Source organism: Homo sapiens, chromosome 15, assembly GCF_000001405.40.
Source record: "Homo sapiens chromosome 15, GRCh38.p14 Primary Assembly".
In the NCBI taxonomy this organism is placed as follows: Eukaryota; Metazoa; Chordata; class Mammalia; order Primates; family Hominidae; genus Homo; species Homo sapiens.
Window position 1 is genome coordinate 75,620,433 of NC_000015.10, and position 21,620 is coordinate 75,642,052.

Below are 21,620 nucleotides of genomic sequence, written 5' to 3' on the forward strand. Positions count from 1 at the left end.
TTCCCTTAGGAATTATTTGTCTTGAACTCCCAAGAGTGCCACAGAAACATTTGGGCTGAAGGCAGATGGGAAGACCACACCAATACCAGCATTCAGAGTGCAGAAGCCAAACACAAGCATCCCAGGAAATGTGGGGAGTGAAAGTCTGGGCGTGGCTTTCGCAAGTTCCTAAACCACAGAGCTCAGTACAGCTGCCAGGAAAAAAAGAAAAACTTAACCAAATAATTGAGCTTTTGGTTTCAAACTTCGGTGTCTCCCTAATTCCTCATCTTCTCCTAAGCTCTGGGTATAAAAGAAACCTACCTCTGCCAGGATTTACCCCTCCCAACCTGTGGGCAAGAAGATCAGCCTACAAAGAGTCTACTTTGAAGGGAGAGTCTGTAGAGACAAGCCTAGAGCCTTCGGAATGGTTCATAGCTCCTAGCCCAGAGAAAGAAGACAAGGAGTTAAAGCTTCCTTACGATTTCTGCAGTTCCAGTAACCTCCGGCGGCGCTCACTCTGCTCCAAGGAACTGTACTTGGACTTGTACTGGGATAGGCGGGGGTGTGGGGCAGCTGTGCTGTTCAGATCTTGAGACACAGAAAAGCTACTAGCCAGGGCCTGACTCAACTCTTCCATCTTCCCTACAAAGGAAAACGTAAGAAAATGGTTCATTCATTTCATATCATCTCCTGTATACAGACAGTTATGCAGTTATGATATGATGGCCACATTCCTGAAAAAAAATTAACTTAATGCAAAATCACAAGTGTTTCCATGAGACAAAAGGAAGTTAAAGGGTAAATGAGTCATATATTAGCAATAACATTATTTTCCTACAGATATTTCCTTTTTTTTTTTTTTTTGAGACAGGGTCTCTCTCTATCACCCAGGTCGGAGTGTAGTGGTGCAATCACAGCTCACTGTTGCCTCAATCTACTGGACCCAAGCAATCCTCCCACCTCAGCTTCCCCAGTAACTGAGACTACAGGTATACACCACCACACCCAGCCAATTTTAAAATTTATTGGTACAGACGGGATCTCCCTATGTTGCCTAGGCTAGTCTTGAACTCTTGGGCTCAAGCAATCTTCCCTCCTCAGCCTCTCAAAGTGCTGGCATTATAGGTGTGAGCCACTGCGCCCGGCCTTTTCTGAGCAGTTCCTCTACAGTTTCCTGAATAGCCATCACTCATTAACCAATATAACTCTCCATGCAGTTTATTCAATTGGTTATTTAATTCTCAACTAAGTGCCAACTCATATTATGAAAATTTAATTCCAGAGGAAACACTGGTTCTAGGGTCCCTGGAGGAAGACAAAAGCAATCAAAAACCCCAAACTCGCCAGGCACGATGGCTCATGCCTGTAATCCCAGCACTTTGGGAGGCCGAGGTGGGTGGATCACAAGGTCAGGAGTTCGAAACCAGCCTGACCAACATGGTGAAACCCCGTCTCTACTAAAAATACAAAAACTAGCTGGATGTGGTGGCAGGCGCCTGTAATCCCAGCTACTCGGGAGGCTGAGGCAGAAGAATCGCTTGAACCTGGGAGGCGGAGGTTGCAGTGAGCCGAGATCGTGCCACTGCACTCCAGCCTGGGCGACACAGCAAGACTTCATCTCAAAAAACAAACAAACAAACAAACAAAAAAACAAACTCTAGCGACCTGGGATTACAGGTGGCTCATGCCTGTAATCCCAGCACTTTGGGAGGCCAAGGCAGGAGGATCACTTGAGGCCAGTAGTTCAAGACCAACCTGGACAATGTAGTGAGACTATGTCTCTACTTTTTAAATAAAAAAGTAAAAAATTATTTTAAATTATAATTTATTTTTTAAAAAATCTGATTGTTACTTCCTCATATTCTAGTTGTGTTTTGTTTTTGGGTGGGCAGAAAGAAGGTTTCAGGGCTACTTATGTGGGACTCACTTGGAAAAGAGCTAGGATGTGGAAGGCTGCTTAACAAGTAACGTCAATGCTCCAGTAGTGTGAAGAACTTCCATAAAGTACATTAGGGAAACAAGACAGGCATGGAGTAGATGTCATTTTGAAAACAGACTTCCCACTTTAGGTGGACCCTAAAGAATGGGAGTGGGGAGAAAGGTGAATTCACACTTCATTCAAGCGCCTGTGAGCCTTAGATTATAAGAAAACAGGAACATTTGGGAGAAATCTGACTTGCACTGCTGGGCTGGCCCAGCCCTTTGGTTCTAGTGTAAACCAGAGGGCACCTCCAGTGCTTAACCTCCATCCCAGGCCAGGTCCAGTGCTCTGAGCATCAAAATCAACAGGTTCATTCCAGAGCCTCTACAGTGAAAAATACAACTCCATAGGCCTCTACTTGGCCAGTGAGTTACTTTCCATTGCACAAGTGAAGTCAGATATTTTTCTTGATTTGAAACATTAGATTTTGTTTAATTTAAAAGGAACTTAAAAATCGTGGTTTGCCAGGTGCAGTTGTGCTTGCCTTTAGTCCCAGCTACTCTGGAGGCTGAGGCAGGAGGTATGCTTGAGCCCAGGAGTTCGAAGCCAGCCTGGGCAATATAGCAAGACCTTGTCTGTAAAAAGAAAAAAAAATTGTGGCTAAATACACATATCATGAAATTCATCATCTTAACCATTTGTAGGTGTACAGTTCTGTAAAGTTAAGTATGTTCAACACTGCTGTGCAGAACTCTCCAGAACTCCTTTTATCTTGAATAACTGAACCTCTGTAACCTTTAAACATAAAAGAAACTTTTTTTTTTTTGAGACAGAGTTTCACTCTTGTTGCCCAGGCTGGAGCACAATGGCACGATCTTGGCTCACCACAACCTCCGCCTCCCAGGTTCAAGTGATTCTCCTGCCTCAGCCTCCCGCGTAGCTGGGATTACAGGCGCCCGCCACCACGCCCGGCTAATTTTGTTTTTGTATTTTTTAGTAGAGACGGGGTTTCACCGTGTTAGCCAGGATGGTCTCGATCTCCCGACCTCCTGATCTGCCCACCTTGGCCTCCCAAAGTGCTGGGATTACAGGTGTGAGCCACCACGCCCGGCCTTTTTTTTTTTTTTGAGACAGGGTCTCACTTTGTCTCCCAGGCTGGACTACAGTGGTGTGATCTCGGCTCACTGCAGCCTCCACCTCCTGGGTTCAAGTAACTCTCCTGCCTCAGCCTCCTGAGTAGCTGGGATTATAGACATGCACCACCATGCTCGGCTAATTTTTGTATTTTTAGTAGAGAAGAGGTTTCATTATGTTGGCGTGGCTGGTCTGAAACTCCTGACCTGAAGTGATCTGCCTGCCTCAGCCTCCCAAAGTGCTGGAATTACAAGCATGAGCCACTGCACCCGGCTTGAGGTGTGCCTTAATATCTTTGCAATGCAACCAAGGGTTGCCATTCCTGAGTGACTGAGGCCTCATGATGAGTGCTTGGGATCCATATGGTATGTTATTCAAATCATCCATAATGGTATGTATGCTATTGTCTCTACTTTTCTGTACTTTTGTGTAAGTTTGAAAGCTTTCATGATAAAATTTTTTTTTTTTTTTTTTTTGAGACGGAGTCTCGCTCTGTCGCCCAGGCTGGAGTGCAGTGGCGGGATCTCGGCTCACTGCAAGCTCCGCCTCCCGGGTTCACGCCATTCTCCTGCCTCAGCCTCCCAAGTAGCTGGGACTACAGGCGCCCGCCACTACGCCCGGCTAATTTTTTGTATTTTCAGTAGAGACGGGGTTTCACCGTTTTAGCCGGGATGGTCTCGATCTCCTGACCTCGTGATCCGCCCGCCTCGGCCTCCCAAAGTGCTGGGATTACAGGCGTGAGCCACCGCGCCCGGCCGATAAAAATTTTTAAAAAGTCATTATGTTTTCAGTTCATCACCAAAGTAATGACCAAATCCAAAGCACCTTTATTAGGCCTATCATGCACTATCTTGGTGTGGGCTCCCGCTCTGCCAAGAACCACACAACCTTTGAAACTGATGTCCTGGGCCTGGCGCGGTGGCTCACGCCTGTAATCCCAGCACTTTGGGAGGTTGAAGCGGGCAGATCACCTGAGGTTAGGAGATCGAGACCATCCTGGCTAACACAGTGAAACCCCGTCTCTACTAAAAAAAAAAAAAAAAATACAAAAAAATTAGCCAGGCATGGTGACGGGCGCCTGTAGTCCCAGATGCTCGGGAGGCTGAGGCAGGAGAATGGCTTGAACCCGTAAGGCGGAGCTTGCAGTGAGTCGAGATCGTGCCACTGCACTCCAGCCTGGACTTCGTCTCAAAAAGAAAAAAAAAAGAAAAACTGATGTCCTGGATACTGGGGCGGTTCCTTTACCTTCCTTCAAGGCTGTTCTTGGCGGGTTCCTGCTGTTTCGTTTTGTTTTTTCTTTGTTGTTGTTGTTTTTTTTTTGAGACAGAGTTTCGCTCTTGTTGCCCAGGCTGGAGTGCAGTGGCATGATCTCGGCTCACTGCAACCTCCATCTCCCGGATTCAAGCGATTCTCCTGCCTCAGCCTCCCGAGTAGCTGGGATTACAGGCACGCGCCACAACGCCCGGCTAATTTTTTTTGTATTTTTAGTACAGATGGGGTTTCACCATGTTGGTCAGGCTGGTCTCAAACTCCTGACCTCAGGTGATCCGCCCACCTCGGCCTCCCAAAGTGCTGGGATTACAGGCGTGAGCCACTGCGCCCCGCCGGGCTCCTGCTGTTTCAACCCATTCCTTGGATGGTGCTGCCTCCAAGTGTTCGGACCTTAGCCCCAGGTGGTCTTAGCACCAGTAACCCCCGCTCCAACTCCCTAAAGTCCGACCCGCCCCAGGCCCCGCCCACGCTCCACCCTCCCTCCCTGTCTAGCCCCCTCCCCCATCCCCTTCCCCCTCCTTCGCGTCTCCCCATCCGGCGCCCCCGCCTCGCGTCCCCTGGGTCCGCATCCTGGCAGCCTCCGCGTTTCCCTACCCCTGCTACCGGGCTCCAGCCCCGGGGACGCTATCTGCTTCACTCGGCCGTGCGCGCCGCCACCGCCCCGCACTGCCTTTTTCTAGGCATGGGGTCATCTAGGCCATGCATGATTCGCCCCTGCCCCACAGAAGTCCCTGAGGGGTCCTGGCCGGACAGCACGGAATAGAAGAACGGAAACTCTCCCAAAAGGAGTCCCAGGCCTGGCTCTATCCCTCCAGATGACGTCCCAGGAGGCCAGAGTGCAGGGCCGGCCAGAGGGAGTCACAGTCCGGCACCGAGAGGCAACTCGGCAGCTGGCGGGGCCCGGGCTCGAACCCAGGGACTCACCCAAACCGAGGTGACCGTCGCACGCGCCGCCGCCACCGGGGCCGACGAATCACCTGCCCTGGGAAGCTAGGTCCGCCCTCCCCCCGCCCCCAGCTGCTGCCTCACCGCTGGGCCCACAGGCCTCGCGCCCTGAGTTTCCGGCTCCTCCCTCCTTTGCGAACGCTGGGAGTTCCGTTGCCTACAGGCCGTTATTTCCGCCTTCAACGGCTGGGGCATTTCCCATCGGCTAGGGAGGGGGTCTTCTTGCATTTGCTTTGCACTGTCCGGGACTCTTCCTGCTAGATGACTTGACCAGGCCGAGGCCTCCCTCCTGAACACAAGCTCTTCGGGGCTCCTTTCGCCAATGGGAGGAGGCTGATCTTGTGGCCGGGCATTCAACGCCCTGGGCCCTGCCGCCTCCCGCAGATCTTCCCGGGCCTTAGGGCTTCACCTGGAGTCCCCTTCCCCTCTTGGGCCCGTGCTCTTAAACGGGCAGTGCCAATTGCCTGGATTACTCCAACTAACCCCTCACACCCAAGTTTCAGACACAGACCTTCGCTCCCCCACTTGCCCTTAACAAAAGCAGATACATACCTCGATTACTGCCTGTTTGCTGCTTTTGCGAGCTTCTTTCCCACTCGGCTGCGGGCTGAGCAATGGTAGGGACCTGGCTTGATTCCTATTTAAGTAGCCAGAGTCCAGCACAAGGGATGGCGCTCAGTAGACCCTGCGTGAAGGAATGATTAAATTGGTGCAAAAGACTAGGGTAAGCGGCAGAGATTTAGGAGATTAAGTCCTGCCAGGGTGTAGCCTCTGCAGGGCGGGAAGGCTGAGATTACAATTTTAAAACTGAATATTTATTGAATGCTTACATTCAGCCAATCCCTGCTTCACACCCATCATCTCATTTAATTTTTTTCCTTTTTTTTCTTTTTTAAGCCAGTAGATATTAACTCTTAATCATGACATGAGGAAGTAGACACACTGAAGCTCAGAGAGGTTAAGTAATTTGGCCAAAGTAACACAGCTTTCAAGGAAAATGTTTGAATTTGCTGAAAGTTTGATGTATAGGGAAGTTGACTACCGATGTATGACAGAAGCAAAGTATCCACCTTTGGCACATTTTGCGTCCACGGAATGCTAAAATTTGGACTTGTGTATTTTATGCACATTACACCATACATTCAGACTAAAAAGAATAGGAAATTAGGCTGATGAAAGGCTATTACTAGACTGGTAAAAAGGGTTCTGGGGCCCTGGAAGGCCAATTTTTCTGGACGTGAGATTTTTTTTTATTTTTTTGAGATGGAGTCTCGCTCTGTCGCCCAGGCTCTGGAGTGCAGTGGCGCAATCTCCGCTCACTGCAAGCTCCGCCTCCCGGGTTCACGCCATTCTCCTGCCTCAGCCTACTGAGTAGCTGGGACTACAGGCGCCTGCCACCATGCCCGGCTAATTTTTTTGTATTTTTAGTAGAGACGGGGTTTCACTGTGTTAGCCAGGATGGTCTCGATCTCCTGACCTCATGATCTGCCCGCCTCGGCCTCCCAAAGTGCTGGGATTAAAGGCGTGAGCCACCGCACCCGGCCTGGACCTGAGATTTTATTTAGGTGGCTCTTTCAGTGGCCAGGCTGAGCAAAGCTGTCCACTAGGGTATTTATTTGGTGCATCCACAAATAAAAGCTCATGTCTGCCTGATTTATGAGACTGACAAAAAAGAGAAGTCCAGGGCCTGACTTCACTAGGGAATTTTGACACCCAGGATATTAGGTATTTTGTGTCCAAACAACCATCCCTTACAACCACGGAGGTCACATCTAATGGTCGGGCTGCATAGAAAAGAATAAAGACCTTAAACATTTTAGGAAAATAGACTGAGACTGAGAAAGAAGTTCCCAAATTCATGCCTGGAGGTCCAGGAGAAATGTTCTAGTTCCTCACTCACACCTAGCTGAATAACTTCCCATATCACTGAAAAAACAAAACAAAACCAGGTCAGGCACTGTGGCTCATGCCTGTAATCCCACCACTTTGAGAGGCCAAGGTGGAAGTAGCCCATGAGTTTGAGACCAGCCTGGGCAACATGACAAAAACCCATCTCCACAAAAAAAAAATTAGCTAGGTGTAGTGGTATGAGTCATGATCCCAACTACTTGGAAGGCTGAGGTGGGAGGATCACTTGAGCCCAGGAAGTCATGGCTGCAGTGAGCTGTGATCCTGCCACTGCACTCAGCCTGGAGACTCTGTCTCAAAACAAACAAAAACCAGAGCACCTGGCCCAGGGGTTCATTTAGAGCCAGTGGGTGTTTCAGAAGGGGCTACCTCTGGAATCTCAGCTTCAGAATGTTGGCCACATGCACACACTGTGCTTTATGTCTTTAAATCAATTAATTTAAGAAAAAAGCCTGACTACATTTATTTAAAAGGGCAACATTGGCCAGGTGTGGTGGCTCATGCCTGTAATCCTAGCACTTTGGGAGGCCAAGGCGGGCAGATCACAAGGTCAAGAGATCCAGACCATCCTGGCCAACATGGTGAAACCCCATCTCTACTAAAAATACAAAAATTATCTGGGCATGGTGGCGCATGCCTGTAGTCCCAGCTGCTCGGGAGGCTGAGGCAGGAGAATCACTTGAACCTGGGAGGCGGAGGTTGCAGTGAGCCGAGATCGCGCTACTGCACTCCAGCCTGGTGTCAGAGCAAGACTCTGTCTCAAAAAAAAAAAAAAAAAGGGCAACATCATAGCATTACCTTACATCAATCACTTCCCACTTTATTAGAAGGTATCTATAAAATAAATACATTGCTCATGCCTATAATCCTAGCACTTTGGGAGGCTGAGGCAGACAGATCACCTGAGGTCAGGAGTTCGAGACCAGCCTGACCAACATGGAGAAACCCTGTCTCTACTAAAAATACAAAATTAGCTGGGCATGGTGGTGCATGCCTGTAATCCCAGCTACTCGGGAGGCTGAGGCAAGAGAATTGCTTGAACCCAGGAAGCGGTGGTTGCAGTGAGCCGAGATCGCGCCATTGCACTCCAGCCTGGGCAACAAGAGCGAAACTCCATCTCAAAAATAAGTAAATAAATAAATACGTGAAAATAATGTTATAGGCTGGTGCAAAAGTAATTGCAGTTTTTGGCCGGGCGCAGTGACTCACGCCTGTAATCCCAGCACTTTGGGAGGCCGAGGCGGGCAAATCACCTGAGGTCGGGAGTTTGAGACCAGCCTGACCAACATGGAGAAACCCCGTCTCTACTAAAAATATAAAATTAGCCGGGCGTGGTGGCACATGCCTGTAATCTCAGGTACTCAGGAGGCTGAGGCAGGAGAATCGCTTGAACCCAGGAGGCAGAGGTTGTGGTGAGCCAAGATGGCGCCATTGCACTCTAGCCTGGGCAACAAGAGTGAAACTACTTCTCAAAAAAAAAAAAAAAGTAATTGCAGTTTTTGCCATTAAAATTAATGGCACCAACCTAATATAATCTTGCTAGATAGATATGGATGTCTGCAGAAAGCTGTAAGTCTGGGGACTTTGTAAAAATCAGAGATTAGCAAGTGTTGAAGTGATAAGGAGTCACACTAACAGAATTTTTCTTTGACGTAATCAGAAAAATTCAAAGAGGACAGAAGAGGGAAGAACCACTTTCTCACTCTATTATTCAATGTCATTAAAGTGGAATCTGTGTACCCCTTAAAATCTTCTGGTTGCCCATGGGCAGGAGAATCCTTACTTAGAAAAGAGAAGGTTGAGAGCAGGAAGGTGTCCAGCCCAGAGGGGAAATGGAGGGAGGTAAGATCACAGAGGCTGCTGGGACACAGGGGCAGGTAAGGGCCTCAGGCCACGGTGGGGAGTTTGGATTTTACCTCCACTGCTGAAGAGGGTTTATTTTTTTGGGGGGTGCGTGGGGGTTGTTTTTGTTTTTGAGACATATCTTGCTCTGTCGCCCAGGCCGGAGTGCAGTGGTGCGATCTCTGCTCACTCCAACCTCCGTCTCCCAGGTTCAAGCAATCCTGCCTCAGCCTCCCAAGTAGCTGGGATTACAGGCATGCGCCACCATGCCTGGCTAATTTTTATATTTTTAGTAGACACGGGGTTTCACCATGTTGGCCAGGCTGGTCTCGAATTCCTGACCTCAGGTGATCCGCCCACCTTGGCCTCCCAAAGTGCTGGGATTACAGGTGTGAGCCACCATGCCTGTCTGCAGATGAGGGTTTTTAAACAGTTATGAGATAGCAGATTCCAGCTTTAGTGAGCTCCCGCTGGCTACTTGGTAGACAACTGAATGTAGGCAACCAAGTGTGGAGGCGTGGAAGCCAGTGAGCAGACCTTGCATGAAAGTATGTCGGGGGATGTGATAGGATTAAGATATAATCTAAAAATAAAACCTGGACAGTTTGTTACTCTTTTTATTGAGATGGAGTCTTACTCTGTTGCTCAGGCTAGAGTGCAATGGTTTGATCACAACTCACTGCAGCCTCAATCACCTGGGCTCAAGTGATCCTTCCACCTCAGCCTCTCAAGTAGCTGGAACTACAGGTGCATGCCACCACACCCAGCTAATTTATTTATTTATCTTATTTATTTATTTATTTGAGATGGAGTTTCGCCCTTGTTGCCCAGGCTGGAGTGCAATGGTGCTATCTCGGCTCACCGCAACCTCCACCTCCCGGGTTCAAGCAATTCTCCTGCCGCCGGGCGCAGTGGCTCACGCCTGTAATCCCAGCACTTTGGGAGGCCGAGGCGAGTGGATCACAAGGTCAGGAGATCGAGACCATCCCGGCTAACACGGTGAAACCCCATCTCTACTAGAAATACAAAAAATTAGCTGGGCGTGGTGGCACGCGCCTGTAGTCCCAGCTACTCGGGAGGCTGAGGCAGGAGAATGGCGTGAACCTGGGAGGCGGAGCTTGCAGTGAGCCGAGATCGCACCACTGCACTCCAGCTTGGGCGACAGAGCGAGACGACTCTGTCTCAAAAAAAAAAAAAAGCAATTCTCCTGCCTTAGCCTCCCAAGTAGCTGGGATTACAGGCATGAGCCACCATGCCTGGCTAATTTTGTATTTTTCAGTAGAGACGGGATTTCTCCACATTGGTCAGGCTGGTCTTGAACTCCTGACCTCAGGTGATCCGCCTACCTCTGCCTCCCAAAGTGCTGGGATTACAGGCCTGAGCCACCACGCCTGGCCTAATTTATTTTTTTAGAGACGAGGTTTAGCTATATTGCCCAAGCTGGTTTTGAAAAACTGGGCTCAAGAGATCTTCCTGCCTTGGCTTCTCAAAGTGCTGGGATTACAGGTGTAAGCCACCATGCCTGGCCAGTTTATTACTCATAAAATAGGGGAAATTAGCACGAATTATACATGCGTCCTAGTCTAGTCCCCAGCCAAAACTTTCCCCCTGAGGTTTATTAGATCTGAGAGAAAATAGGAAAGGGAACAACTTCCTCCCTAAATCGATGTTGTTAAAGGCCAAGGCCATGCACCATCTAAGCCATTTTGAGGACCAGTGCTTCTCATTGGCCACCTGGAGACACCTTGTAGGACAGTAAAGAAGTCAGTTATGGGCCGGGTGCAGTGGCTCACGCCTGTAATCCCAGCACTTTGGGAGGCCGAGGCGGGGGAATCACGAGGTCAGGAGATTGAGACCATCCTGGCTAACACGGTGAAACACCGTCTCTACTAAAAAATATAAAAATTTAGCCGGGTATGGTGGCAGGCGCCTGTAGTCCCAGCTACTCGGGAGGCTGAGGCAGGAGAATGGCGTGAATCCGGGAGGCAGTGCTTGCAGTGAGCCAAGATTGTGCCACTGCACTCCAGCCTGGGCGACAGAGCGAGACTCAGTCTAAAAAAAAAAAAGTCAGTTATGGCTGGTCGCAGTGGCTCACACCTGTAATCCCAGCACTTTGGGAGGCCAAGGCAGGTGGATTACGAGGTCAGGAGTTTGAGACCAGCCTGGCCAATATGGTGAAACCCCGTCTCTACTAAAAATACAAAAATTAGCCAGGCATGGTGGCACGCACCTGTAATCGCAGGTACTGGGGAGGCTGGGGCAGAAGAATCGCTTGAACCCAGGAGGCAGAGTTTGCAGTGAGCCAAGATTATGCCCCTGCACTCCAGCCTGGGCAACAGAATGAGACTCCATCTCAAAAAAAAAAAAAAAAAAAAAGAAGCCAGTTATGCTAGGAGGGAGAAGCAGACGTGAAAGGGTGGCAAAGTCAGGCATCAAAGGGGGTCACAGGAGCCAGGGTACAGAAACTGCAGCCACAGGGGACCCTAAAGCTCCAGGGAGCCAAACCTCTTCCCTACTCCCACCCCACCCCAACCCACCCCCATCCCAAGGTCCCTGAGCCCCAGTCCTGGGTGAGAGAAATCATGAAAGTGGTTAAGGATTAAGGTCTTGGGCCCTGGAGCTAGATGGCCTAGATCCAAATCCAGACTCAGGTACCTGTTGGCACAGTGGCCTGGGTTTGTTATTTCACCTTCTGTGCTCAATTACCCTCTCTGTAAAATGTGGTTAACAACAGCACCTAGCTCATAAGGTTGTTATACAGTTTCATTGAGCTAATCTAGGTGAGGTGATTAGAATAGTACCTGGCACAGAGTAAGTCTTTAAAAGTGCTGTTTTGTTAGTCTTTAACTTGTTATAAAATAACCCCTCCATGACTGATTTACTTATATCTACAATAAATAAATTGACACCTACTTAGGTGAGCCCAAGAGAATCTCTTCTCTGCAGACAAAAGTGCTTGCCCAGACTTGAGGTGACATAGTTTGCCCAGGTTAGGTACAGGCAGAGGGTGACTGGGTGAGAATTTTAATCCAGACTTTCAGCCCTTACGGACTCCAAAATTCCTGACTTTTTTTTTTTTTTTTTTTAGACAGAGTTTTGCTCGTTGCCAAGGCTGGAGTGCAGTAGCATGATCTCAGCTCACTGCAACCTCTGCCTCCAGGGTTCAAGTGATTCTTTTGCCCTAGCCTCCTGAGTAGCTGTGATTACAGGCGCGCACCACCATGCCTGGCTAATTTTTTTTATTTTTAGTAGAAATGGGGTTTCACCATGTTGGCCAGGCTGGTCTTGAACTCCTGACCTCACGTGATCCATCTGCCTCGGCCTCCCAAAGTGCTGGGATTACAGGCGTGAGCCACCGGGCCTGGCTTTTTTTTTTTTTTTTTTTTGAGACAGGGTCTCACTCTGTCACCCAGGCTGGAGTGCGGTACTGTGATCTTGGCTCACTGTAACCTCCACCTCCCGGGCTCAAGCAATCCCCTGATCTCAGCCTCCCAAGTAGCTGAGACTACAGGTGCTTGCCCCCACACCCAGTTGATTTTTTTTTTTTTTTTAGAGACAGAGTCTTGCTCTGTTGCCCAGGCTGGAGTGCAGTGGCGCGATCTCGGCTCACTGCAACCTCCACCTCCCGGGTTCTAGCAATTCTCCTGCCTCAGGCTCCCAAGTAGCTGGGATTACAGGTGCACACCGTCACACCCGGCCAATTTTTTGTAGAGACAGGGTTTCACTGTGTTGCCCAGGCTGGTCTCGAACTCCTGAGCTCAGGCAATCCACCAGCCTCAGCCTCCCAAAGTGCTAGGATTACAGCACTTTGGGCGTTTACAGCACTTTCAGCCACCGCGCCAGGCCTGATTTTTATATTTTTAGTAGAGATGGGGTTTTGCCATGTTGACTAGGCTGGTCTTGAACTCTTGACTCAAGCAATCCACCCACCTTGGCTTCCCAAAGTGTTGGGATTATAGGCATAAACCTGGCCAAAACCCCTGATTTTTATCCCATGGACCCATGGAATGTTGCCTGCCCTGTATTTTTTTTTTTTTTTTGAGACAGGGTCTTGCTGTGTTCCCCAGGCTGGAGTGTAGTGGTGTGATCACAGCTCATAGCAGCTTCTACCTCTTAGGCTCAAGTGATCCTCCCACCTCAGCCTCCCTGAGTAGCTGGGACCATAGGTGAATGCCACCATGCCCAGCTACTTTTTTTTTTTTTTTTTTTTTCCTGTAAAGACAAGGTCTGGTTATGTTGCCCAGGCTGGTCTCAAACTCCTGGGCTCAATCCTCCCACCTCAGCTTCCCAAAGTGCTGGGATTACAGGCATAAACCACTGCACCTGGGCCCTGCCTCATATTTTAAGGGGTCTACTTTCACTCCTGAGTTTCAGCTCATGAGCTGAATGAATGAGTGATTTGGTTCATCTCTGCTGAGATTCTGCCCTTCCATGCAGGGAACCAGCCTGGCCCCAGGTAGGGGGGAAATGTCCTTTACAAACTGCCCAGGGGCTTCAAAGTTGGGACCCATTCTTGGATTTTTTTTGGTTTTTCTTTGAGATGAAGTTTCGCTCTTGTTGCCCAGGCTGGAGTGCAATGGCCTGATCTGGATTCACTGCAACCTCCACCTCCTGGGTTTGAGCGATTCTCCTGTCTCAGCCTCCTGAGTAGCTGGGATTATAGGGGCCTGCCACGACACCAGGCTAATTTTTTGTATGTTTAGTAGAGATAAGGTTTCTCCATGTTGTCCAGGCTGGTCTTGAACTCCTGACCTCAGGTGATCCACCCGCCTCGGCTTCCCAAAGTGCTGGGAATATAGACATGAGCCACCGCACCCGGCCTTTCTTGGATGTTAAAACCAAGGTTTGTCCTAAAGATTGCACAGCTTTCTGGAGCCAGGGCTGGGGATTGTTGGGGCAGTGAAGCACGTCTAAATTCTTCTCTACTTTGCAAGTGTTGACAGCACTCTTTTATATCCTTTTCTCTAAATCAGAAACAGAGCAGAAACTAGAGCCATCTCGTCCTGCCTCTTCCTATCATAGAAAGGAGATGGAGGGAGGCCTAGAGAGAGAAGGAGAAGCTTATGCCCCCAGTCCCGCAGCAAGTCAGAGGCGGACAAGACCCCTCTTCCCTGAAGCCCCTGCAGCCTCTCTGCCCCTCTGCTGCTGGAATAGGATGCAGCATCTGCATGATGTTTGCTCTGTGCCAAGCACTGGGCTAGGAACAAGGCCTGTGCTTTTCCAAGTGTGGTCCCCTGACTAGCAGCACCAAAATCACCTGGGAACCTGTTAGAAATGCAAATTCTCAGGCCCGCCCCAGACCTCCTGAATCAGAAACATGAAGGGGGCTGGGCGCGTTGGCTCACGCCTGTAGTCCTAACACTTTGGGAGGCCGAGGTGGGCGCATCACGGGGTCAGGAGATTGAGACCATCCTGGCTAACACGGTGAAACTCCGTCTCTACTAAAAATACAAAAAAGTAGCTGGGCGTGGTGGCGGGCGCCTGTAGTCCCAGCTACTCGGAAGGCTGAGGCAGGAGAATGGTGTGAACCCGGGAGGCGGAACTTGTAGTGAGCCAAGATCGCGCCACTGCACTCCAGCCTGGGCAACAGAGCAAGACTCCATCTCAAAAAAAAAAAAAAAAAAAAAAAAAAAAGAAACATGAATGGAGTGGAGACAGCATCTGTTTTCACAATCCTTCCCCAAGGTTCAAATGTGGCATGGTCAAGTTTGAGAACCACTGCTCCAAGCCATAGTAGGCTCAGTCCCGGTGTATCTGAGTGGCTAAAATTGTGGAACCTGGAGTCAGAGAGAACTAGGTGCAAACCTGCCTCCATTGCTAACTCTGTGACTCAGGTAAGCTATTGTCTTTGAGCTTTAGTTCTGTCAGTGATAAAATGGCCATAATAATAGTGCCCATAAGGTTGTTGTGAGGACTACATGAGACAGCACAAAGCCTGGGGCGTGGTAAGCACTGCTGGGGTAGCCATTATTAGCTAGCTGAGTGATTATTTTTTATTTTTTTGAGACAGTCTTGCTCTGTTGCCCAGGCTGGAGTGCAGTGGCACGATCTTGGCTCACTGCAACCTCTGCCTCCTGGGTTCAAGCAATTTTCCTGCCTCAGCCTCCCGAGCAGCTGGGATTACAAGCGTGCAGCACCACGCCCGTATTTTTAGTAGAGATGAGGTTTCACCATGTTGGCCAGGCTAGTCTCGAACTCCTGACCTCATGTGATCCACCTGCCTTGGTCTCCCAAAGTGCTGGGAATGCAGGCGTGAGCCACCGCGCCGACCTCCTCTCTACAATTTTTAATGTCAGTACTATTTTTTACCCCCACCTTTTCACATTAAAAAATGTGGTAAAATATACATAACATAGAATTTACCATTGTAGCCACTTTTAAGTGTTAATTCAGTGGTATTAATTACACTCGCAATGTAGTACAACAGTCACCACTATTGTACTATACCACATTGTACTACATTGTGAATGTGAAATGTGTTGTTCTACATTGTGAAAGTTTTTCCAAAACTTTTTTTTTCTTTTTGAGACTGGGTCTCACTCTGTTCTGTCACCCAGGCTGGAGCGTGATCATGGCTCACTGCACCCTCAACCTCCCTGGGCTCAGGTGACCCTCCCACCTCAGCCTCCCAAGTAGCTGGGACTACACGCACACATCACCACACCCAACTAATTTCTGTGGTTTTTTTTTTTTTTTTTTTTTCCACGCTGCCCAGGTCTTGAACTCCTGGGCTCAAGCAATCCACCTGCATCGGCCTCCCAAAGTGCTAGGATTACAAGAGTGAGCCACCACGCCCAGCCTTCAAAACATTATCATCACCCAAAACAGAAACTCTGTACCATTAAACAGTAATTCCACACCCCCCTCCAATATTACCACATTTTTATGATGAGGAAAACGGAGGCACAGAGAGGCTCGGTAAAACAATCAATGTTACACAGCTAGCTAAGCATAGGGGTCAGGACTCAGACTAGGCTATTTGGCTCCAGAGCTTGCTTTCTGAATCACTGTCTTACATTTTTTTTCTTTTCTTTTTTTTTTTTCAGACAGAGTCTCACTCTGTCCCCTAGGCTGGAGTGCAGTGGTGCGATCTTGGCTCACTGCAACCTCCGCCTCCTGGGTTCAAGAGATTCTTGTGCCTCAGCCTCCTGAGTAGCTGGGATTACAGGTGGCTACTACCATGCCCGCCTAATTTTTGTATTTTTAGTACAGACGGGGTTTCGCCACATGGGCCAGGCTGATCTCCAACTCCTGAACTCAGGTGATCTGCCCACCTCAGCCTCCCAAGGTGCTGGGATTACAGGCATGAGCCGCCATGCCTAGCAGATTTTTTTTCTTAAATCTAAAGCTTTTATTCTTGTTTATTTATTTATTTACTTATTTATTTACTCTGTCGCCCAGGCTGGAGTGCAGTGGCATGATCTCGGCTCACTGCAACCTCTGCCTCCCAGGTTCAAGCTATTCTTCTGCCTCAGCCTCAGCTTTGCAAACCTAGCCCAAGTAGCTGGGTTTACAAACATGTGCCATCACGCCCGACTAATTTTTATATTTTTGCTAGAGATGGGGTTTCACCATGTTGGACAGGCTGGTCTTGAACTCCTGGCCTCAAGTGATCTGCCCACCTCAGCCTCCCAGAGTGCTGGGATTACAGGCATGAGCCACCGCGCCTGGCCTGAATTTTGAGGTTTTTATCTGCTTGGGCCATGGGTGCAGGCTCCAATTACTCCAAAGGGGCTGATCTATCTGCCATGCCTTGTGGGGTCTGGTGGGAGCTGGAGGGCCACAGGGGTCCTGCCCTGTAGAGCCACTTTGTTTTTCCTCCATGAGATCCACAATCTTGGGAGCCCTGAGGATGTTCCTCCAAATGGGCAGACTATGCCCAGCCACCAGAGCTGGAGAGCAGGATTCTCTCTCCTTCCACTTATAAAGGGACAGCACTGAAACAAACATGGCCTCTGGAGTCACATGAGACTGGACTCGAAACCTAGCCTTGGACAGGTTGCTATTCCAATTGTTTCCCAAACTGAAGTTACAGATACCACCACCTACCTTGCAGAGTTGTTGGTAAGAGTAAATGGCAGCCTAGAACTAGCAGGGCCTAGATGAGAGTTAGTTCCCTTCCTAACTTGAATATCACCTTTTCCTTAATGCCTTCCCAGTTCAATGTTTGCTCCCTCCTCACACCTTTATACAGCATCCTGTGGAGACCGATCGAATTGCCTAGTGCTGCTGCTTTTCCCTGCTGGTTTGTAAATTCAAGTTCAGAGACTCTTTCTAAACTCTGACACACATCAAGGGCTGGGTGTGCTGACACTGACACAGTCCCAGTCCATTGCTTACTGGCTACGTAATCTTTGGTAATTTGACCCATCTCTGCCTCCATTTCCTCATCTGAAAAGTAGAGAATTGGATTCTCCACTTCATAGGATTGCTGGGAGGTTGAAATGGGCTAATATAGGTGGTGCACTTAAAAATGGAGCTGACATATAGTAGAAGTACTTGGTATTATATGATCCCATGATATAATAAGTCCCCTTCTCTAAATCATTTCTTCACCTAATGCTGCCTCACACCTGGGGAAGCGAACAAGGCACCACTAAAAGCCAATCCACTGATCTCGGCATCCTATTTATTCTCCTTTTAGAAGGCTTGGCCAGGCACGGTGGCTCACACCTGTAATCCCAGCACTTTGGGAGGCTGAGGCAGGATTGCTTGAACTTAGGAGTTTGAGATCAGCCTAGGTAACATGCCAAAACCCTGTGTCTACAAAAATTAAAAACTAGCCAGGGGTGGTGGTACATGCCTATAATCCCAGCTACTGGGGAGGCTGAGGTGGGAGGACTGCTTGAGCCCAGGAGATCGAGGCTGCAGTGAGCTGTGACAGCTCCACTGCACTCCAGCTTGGGCCTTGTGTGAAAAAAAAAACAAAAAGAAAAAAGAATAAAGAAATCTTGAGTAAAACTTGGTAGTCTCCCTTCTTATTCTCTATCACTGCTATCATCTAAATTTCCAGGAACCTCCTGGGCCACTTCTAACCGCTAGATGGCCAAGCTACAGAGTGATTATTTCCTTAGGCAAGCAAACATCCCAGCCCTCTAATACGGTATTTCCTGGGGCTGGAATATCAACAGGAAGTTATGTGAGGAAGAGCTCTGCCAAAACACTCATTCCAAGGAAGGGACTGGTAAAGTGACAAATTTGCCCAATCCTGTACAACATCCTGCATCCTCCACATGTGGCCCTGTTGCACATCTAATCCACAGGCAGGTCACTCGCTGCTGACTCTATTCTTCTCTGGGCTCCTGGGACGTATAAATATGACTCTATGTAAGAAAACCAGAGGCTGGGCGCAGTTTGCTCATGCCTGTAATCCCAGCACTTTGGGAGGCCGAGGCGGGCGGATCACGAGTTCAGGAGTTCCAGACCAGCCTGGCCAACATGGTGAAACCCTGACTCTACTAAAACCACAAAAATTAGCCGGGCGCGGTGGCGGGCGCCTATACTCCTAGCTACTCGGGAGGCTGAGGCAGGAAAATTGCTTGAACCCGGGAGGCGGAGGTTGCAGTGAGCCGAGATCGCGCCACTGCACTCCAGCCTGGGTGACAGAGCAAGACTCCGTCTCTAGAGAAAAAAAGAAAACCAGACAGATTAAAAAGTTGCACTTACAAAGCAGTTGGGGCATTTATTGACATTTAAACAAGGGAGGAGATCCTGAACACTAGTCTCGCTCAGTTTATAAAAACTTGAGGCCAAACTCTCCATCATCTGTACACAGCTTAACCACGGCCAGGAGCAAGAATTCGAGTTAAACGAATTGAACCAGTCCAACCACAAGACGATAAAGGGAAACAGGGCGTGGGGATTTCCAGTTTTTCCTTTTACATTACAAAGTTTCCAACACAAGAAGCCAACAATACCCCAGTGCTGCACCAAGTTACTTCCCACTGTTTCCCAAGGCACAGTCAATTAATAATCAGTAGTCCAAGTTCTAAGAACATTCCCTGGAAAACAAGGACGCACCTCCCGTGGCTCTATGCATGGCCTGCCACTGATGAATCAAATTCTTAAGAACCTACGACCGTCTGATACCCTTGAGGAGAGCACCCTCATAGAATCTCCAGCATCAGGCCTCAGTTTTCCCATCTGTAAAAGACAGCCATGCAAAGTGGGAGATCCGCTAGGCTTCCAGATCGAAGTCATCGCGCTCCTCATTGTACTCTAGCACGTGCCGCTTGATCTTGGACGAGTCCACCCAAGTGACAAAGTCCTCCATGCTGCGCGTGACAAGGAAGGCGGGGTCGGTAACCACGTCAGGGCCCACGCGTACGTGCCCTTGCTCCACAAAGGCCACGGCAGCCTGAAGGTGCTGCGCCATGCGCAGCTTGAGGAGCACGGTGGGGAGGCGGCGGCGGCAGAAGGACGAGGCCGTGACGAAGTCGCAGAGCTCCAGCGAACCGCGCGTGGGCACCAAGCCGAGAGCATACAGCTTGTCCAGCAGCGCGGCCGAAGCGCGCACGCGGAACTGGTCGCGTTCGGGCAGGTCGCGCAGGCGCCGCGCCAGCTCACGCACGGCACGGCTCAGCTGGTTGTAGCGCGTGTAGTCCTCCCGCCGCTGCAGCCGGTAACGCCGCAGCACGCGCAGCTCGTGCAGGTTGTGGTCGGTGACCTCCCAGTTCAGGAAGTCCACCTGCTTCAGCAGCTTCTGCTCGTGGAACTTAAGCTTCCGCACCATGATGGCGGCAGCCGCAGCCGCAGGACCCGAAGCTGAGAGCGCGTTCTGGCATCCGCGCGATTTCCGCCGCGGCGCCCCAAGACCTGGACGGCCTGGGACCCTGGGCCAATGAAAGAAAGACTTAAAGTCACGCCCTCACTTCCCATTGGCCAGGGTGGGACCACGCCTCTGCACTGGGATCTCGCGTTTCTTCTTTTCTTCGCGTTTGCGAGGGAGGGGGTAGAAGCACCGGAGGTGGGTGGTTGGGAGCGGGTCCCTAGGCGGTTCCGCGCGGTTTTTAGTAGCCAAGACTGTATCCCTTTCTGCGGCAATCATTTCCTCCTAGACTTCTGTCCTTTGGGGACTTTCAGAGTCTCCCCCGCAAGAGCTGAAGAGGCCATTTCTGGGGAAGAGGGGTGACTGCGGCTTGTTGATTGGGTTTACTGTGCTAACTTGCACTGGGCTCCTGCCATGCCTTGGGGGAGCTTGCCGGAGCCGGCTCTCCTGGGGCTGACCTGGTAGTCCCCGCCGCCCGCCAGCGTCAGGTCCTTCACCTGGCATGCAGAGCGATCTCTCATTGTCAAGTTGGGATAGGTGGCACCGAACCCATGAAATACTGATTGGCTGCTTCCTAGGCCCACAGAAAAGGGATCTATAAGGGAGTCGCCTGGAAATCTGTATTATTAACTAAAGTGTCAGATGATTCATAAAACCCAGCAAGTTTGAGAAACTTGGACTATAACTACAAGTCCAAACCCTTTAGTCTGTGCTCAAATGAATTATCCTGACATGAATTTCTGGCCACCAAGCATTGAGTTAACAAATTTAATGCTGTTTCCGCTAGTTGCATCTGTAAGTTACATCTGAGTATAGCGCTGCAGACCTAACCCCTTTTTGCCCGGGCATTTGACGCCACCTAGCTTCTCACTGATCATTTTTGTTTTGTATGCTTTTCATTGTCTTTTACAATACAATATTTGAGGGTTGGGCGCGGTGGCACATGCCTGTAATCCCAGCACTTTGGGAGGCTGAGGTGGGAGGATCATTTGAGGCCAGGAGTTCAAGACCAACCTAGGCAAAAAAAAAAAGAAAAAAGAAGCGAGATCCCACCTCTGTAAAAAATCTTAAAGAATTAGCCAAGCATGGTGGTGCGCACCTGTAGTCCTGACTACCTGGGAGGCTGAGGGGGAAGGATCATTTGAGCCCAGGACTTGTAGGCTGCATTGAGCTACAATGGTGCCACCGCACCCCAGCTTGCACAACAGAGCCAGACCCTGTCTCAAAAAGATATATATATATATATAAAATATTCGATATCTGGAAAATAATATAATATGTAAATTATAAAGTATAATAAATACTCATAAACTTAGCCAGTTTAAGAAAACATCACCAGGCTAGGCATGGTGGCTCATGCCTGTAATCCCAACACTGGGAGGCCAAGGTGGGAGGATCACTGGAAGCCAGGAGTTCAAGACCAGCCTGGGCAACATAGTAAGACTCAGTCCCTATGGACAAAAAAAAAAAAAAAAAATTAGCCAGGCATGGTGGCAGCACCTATAGTCCCAGCTACTGGTGAGGGTTTCGGGGTAAGAGGGGGGAGGATCCCTTGAAGCCGGAAGTTCAAGGATGCAGTGAGCCATGATCACACTACTGCACTCCAGCTTGGGCAACAGAACAACATCCTGTCTCTAAAACAAACAGAAAGCTAATACAGATTGTTTGCTTTTTTAATCTAATTGATTTTTTCTTTTTTTTTTTTTGGAGATCGAGTCTTGCTCTCTCGCCCAGGCTGGAGTGCAGTGGTGTGATCTTGGCTCACTGCAACCTCCGCCTCCTGGGTTCAAGCTATTCTCCTGCCTCAGCCTCCTGAGTAGCTGGGACTGCAGGCACCTGCCACCACAC

General features: G+C 49.4%; 2 protein-coding genes across 4 annotated transcripts in view, besides 4 other annotated features; both read right to left on the minus strand.

Moving 5' to 3' along the window:
- The window catches only part of SNUPN (snurportin 1), a 28,376-nt gene extending 22,347 nt beyond the window's left edge, over window positions 1–6,029 (minus strand). Inside the window, exons 1-2 of one of the 3 annotated variants that reach the window (NM_001042581.2) lie at window positions 5,339–6,029; window positions 462–624 (exon numbers count right to left, since the gene is read on the minus strand). In NM_001042581.2, coding sequence (NP_001036046.1) covers window positions 462–619 — 158 coding nt within the window. In that variant the 5' untranslated portion in view covers window positions 620–624; window positions 5,339–6,029. Of the gene's footprint in view, window positions 1–461; window positions 625–5,233; window positions 5,294–5,338 lie in introns of those variants that run through there. The other 2 variants (NM_001042588.2, NM_005701.4) reach the window with 2 other exon arrangements.
- Window positions 4,772–4,821: a silencer, noted in NCBI's record as "silent region_6675". NCBI's record gives its function as "represses an Ori minimal core promoter by ATAC-STARR-seq in GM12878 lymphoblastoid cells {active_cell/tissue: GM12878}" and the evidence as "EXISTENCE:reporter gene assay evidence [ECO:0000049][PMID:35858748]".
- Window positions 5,472–5,661: an enhancer, noted in NCBI's record as "active region_9859". NCBI's record gives its function as "activates an Ori minimal core promoter by ATAC-STARR-seq in GM12878 lymphoblastoid cells {active_cell/tissue: GM12878}" and the evidence as "EXISTENCE:reporter gene assay evidence [ECO:0000049][PMID:35858748]".
- Window positions 6,030–18,660: 12,631 nt separating the features above from the next.
- On the minus strand, window positions 18,661–19,792 carry IMP3 (IMP U3 small nucleolar ribonucleoprotein 3). Its single transcript, NM_018285.4, has one exon. It carries the CDS (start codon window positions 19,734–19,736, stop codon window positions 19,182–19,184), a length of 555 nt encoding a protein of 184 aa, NP_060755.1. The 5' UTR covers window positions 19,737–19,792; the 3' UTR covers window positions 18,661–19,181.
- Window positions 19,437–19,496: an enhancer, noted in NCBI's record as "active region_9860". NCBI's record gives its function as "activates an Ori minimal core promoter by ATAC-STARR-seq in GM12878 lymphoblastoid cells {active_cell/tissue: GM12878}" and the evidence as "EXISTENCE:reporter gene assay evidence [ECO:0000049][PMID:35858748]".
- Window positions 19,787–19,946: a silencer, noted in NCBI's record as "silent region_6676". NCBI's record gives its function as "represses an Ori minimal core promoter by ATAC-STARR-seq in GM12878 lymphoblastoid cells {active_cell/tissue: GM12878}" and the evidence as "EXISTENCE:reporter gene assay evidence [ECO:0000049][PMID:35858748]".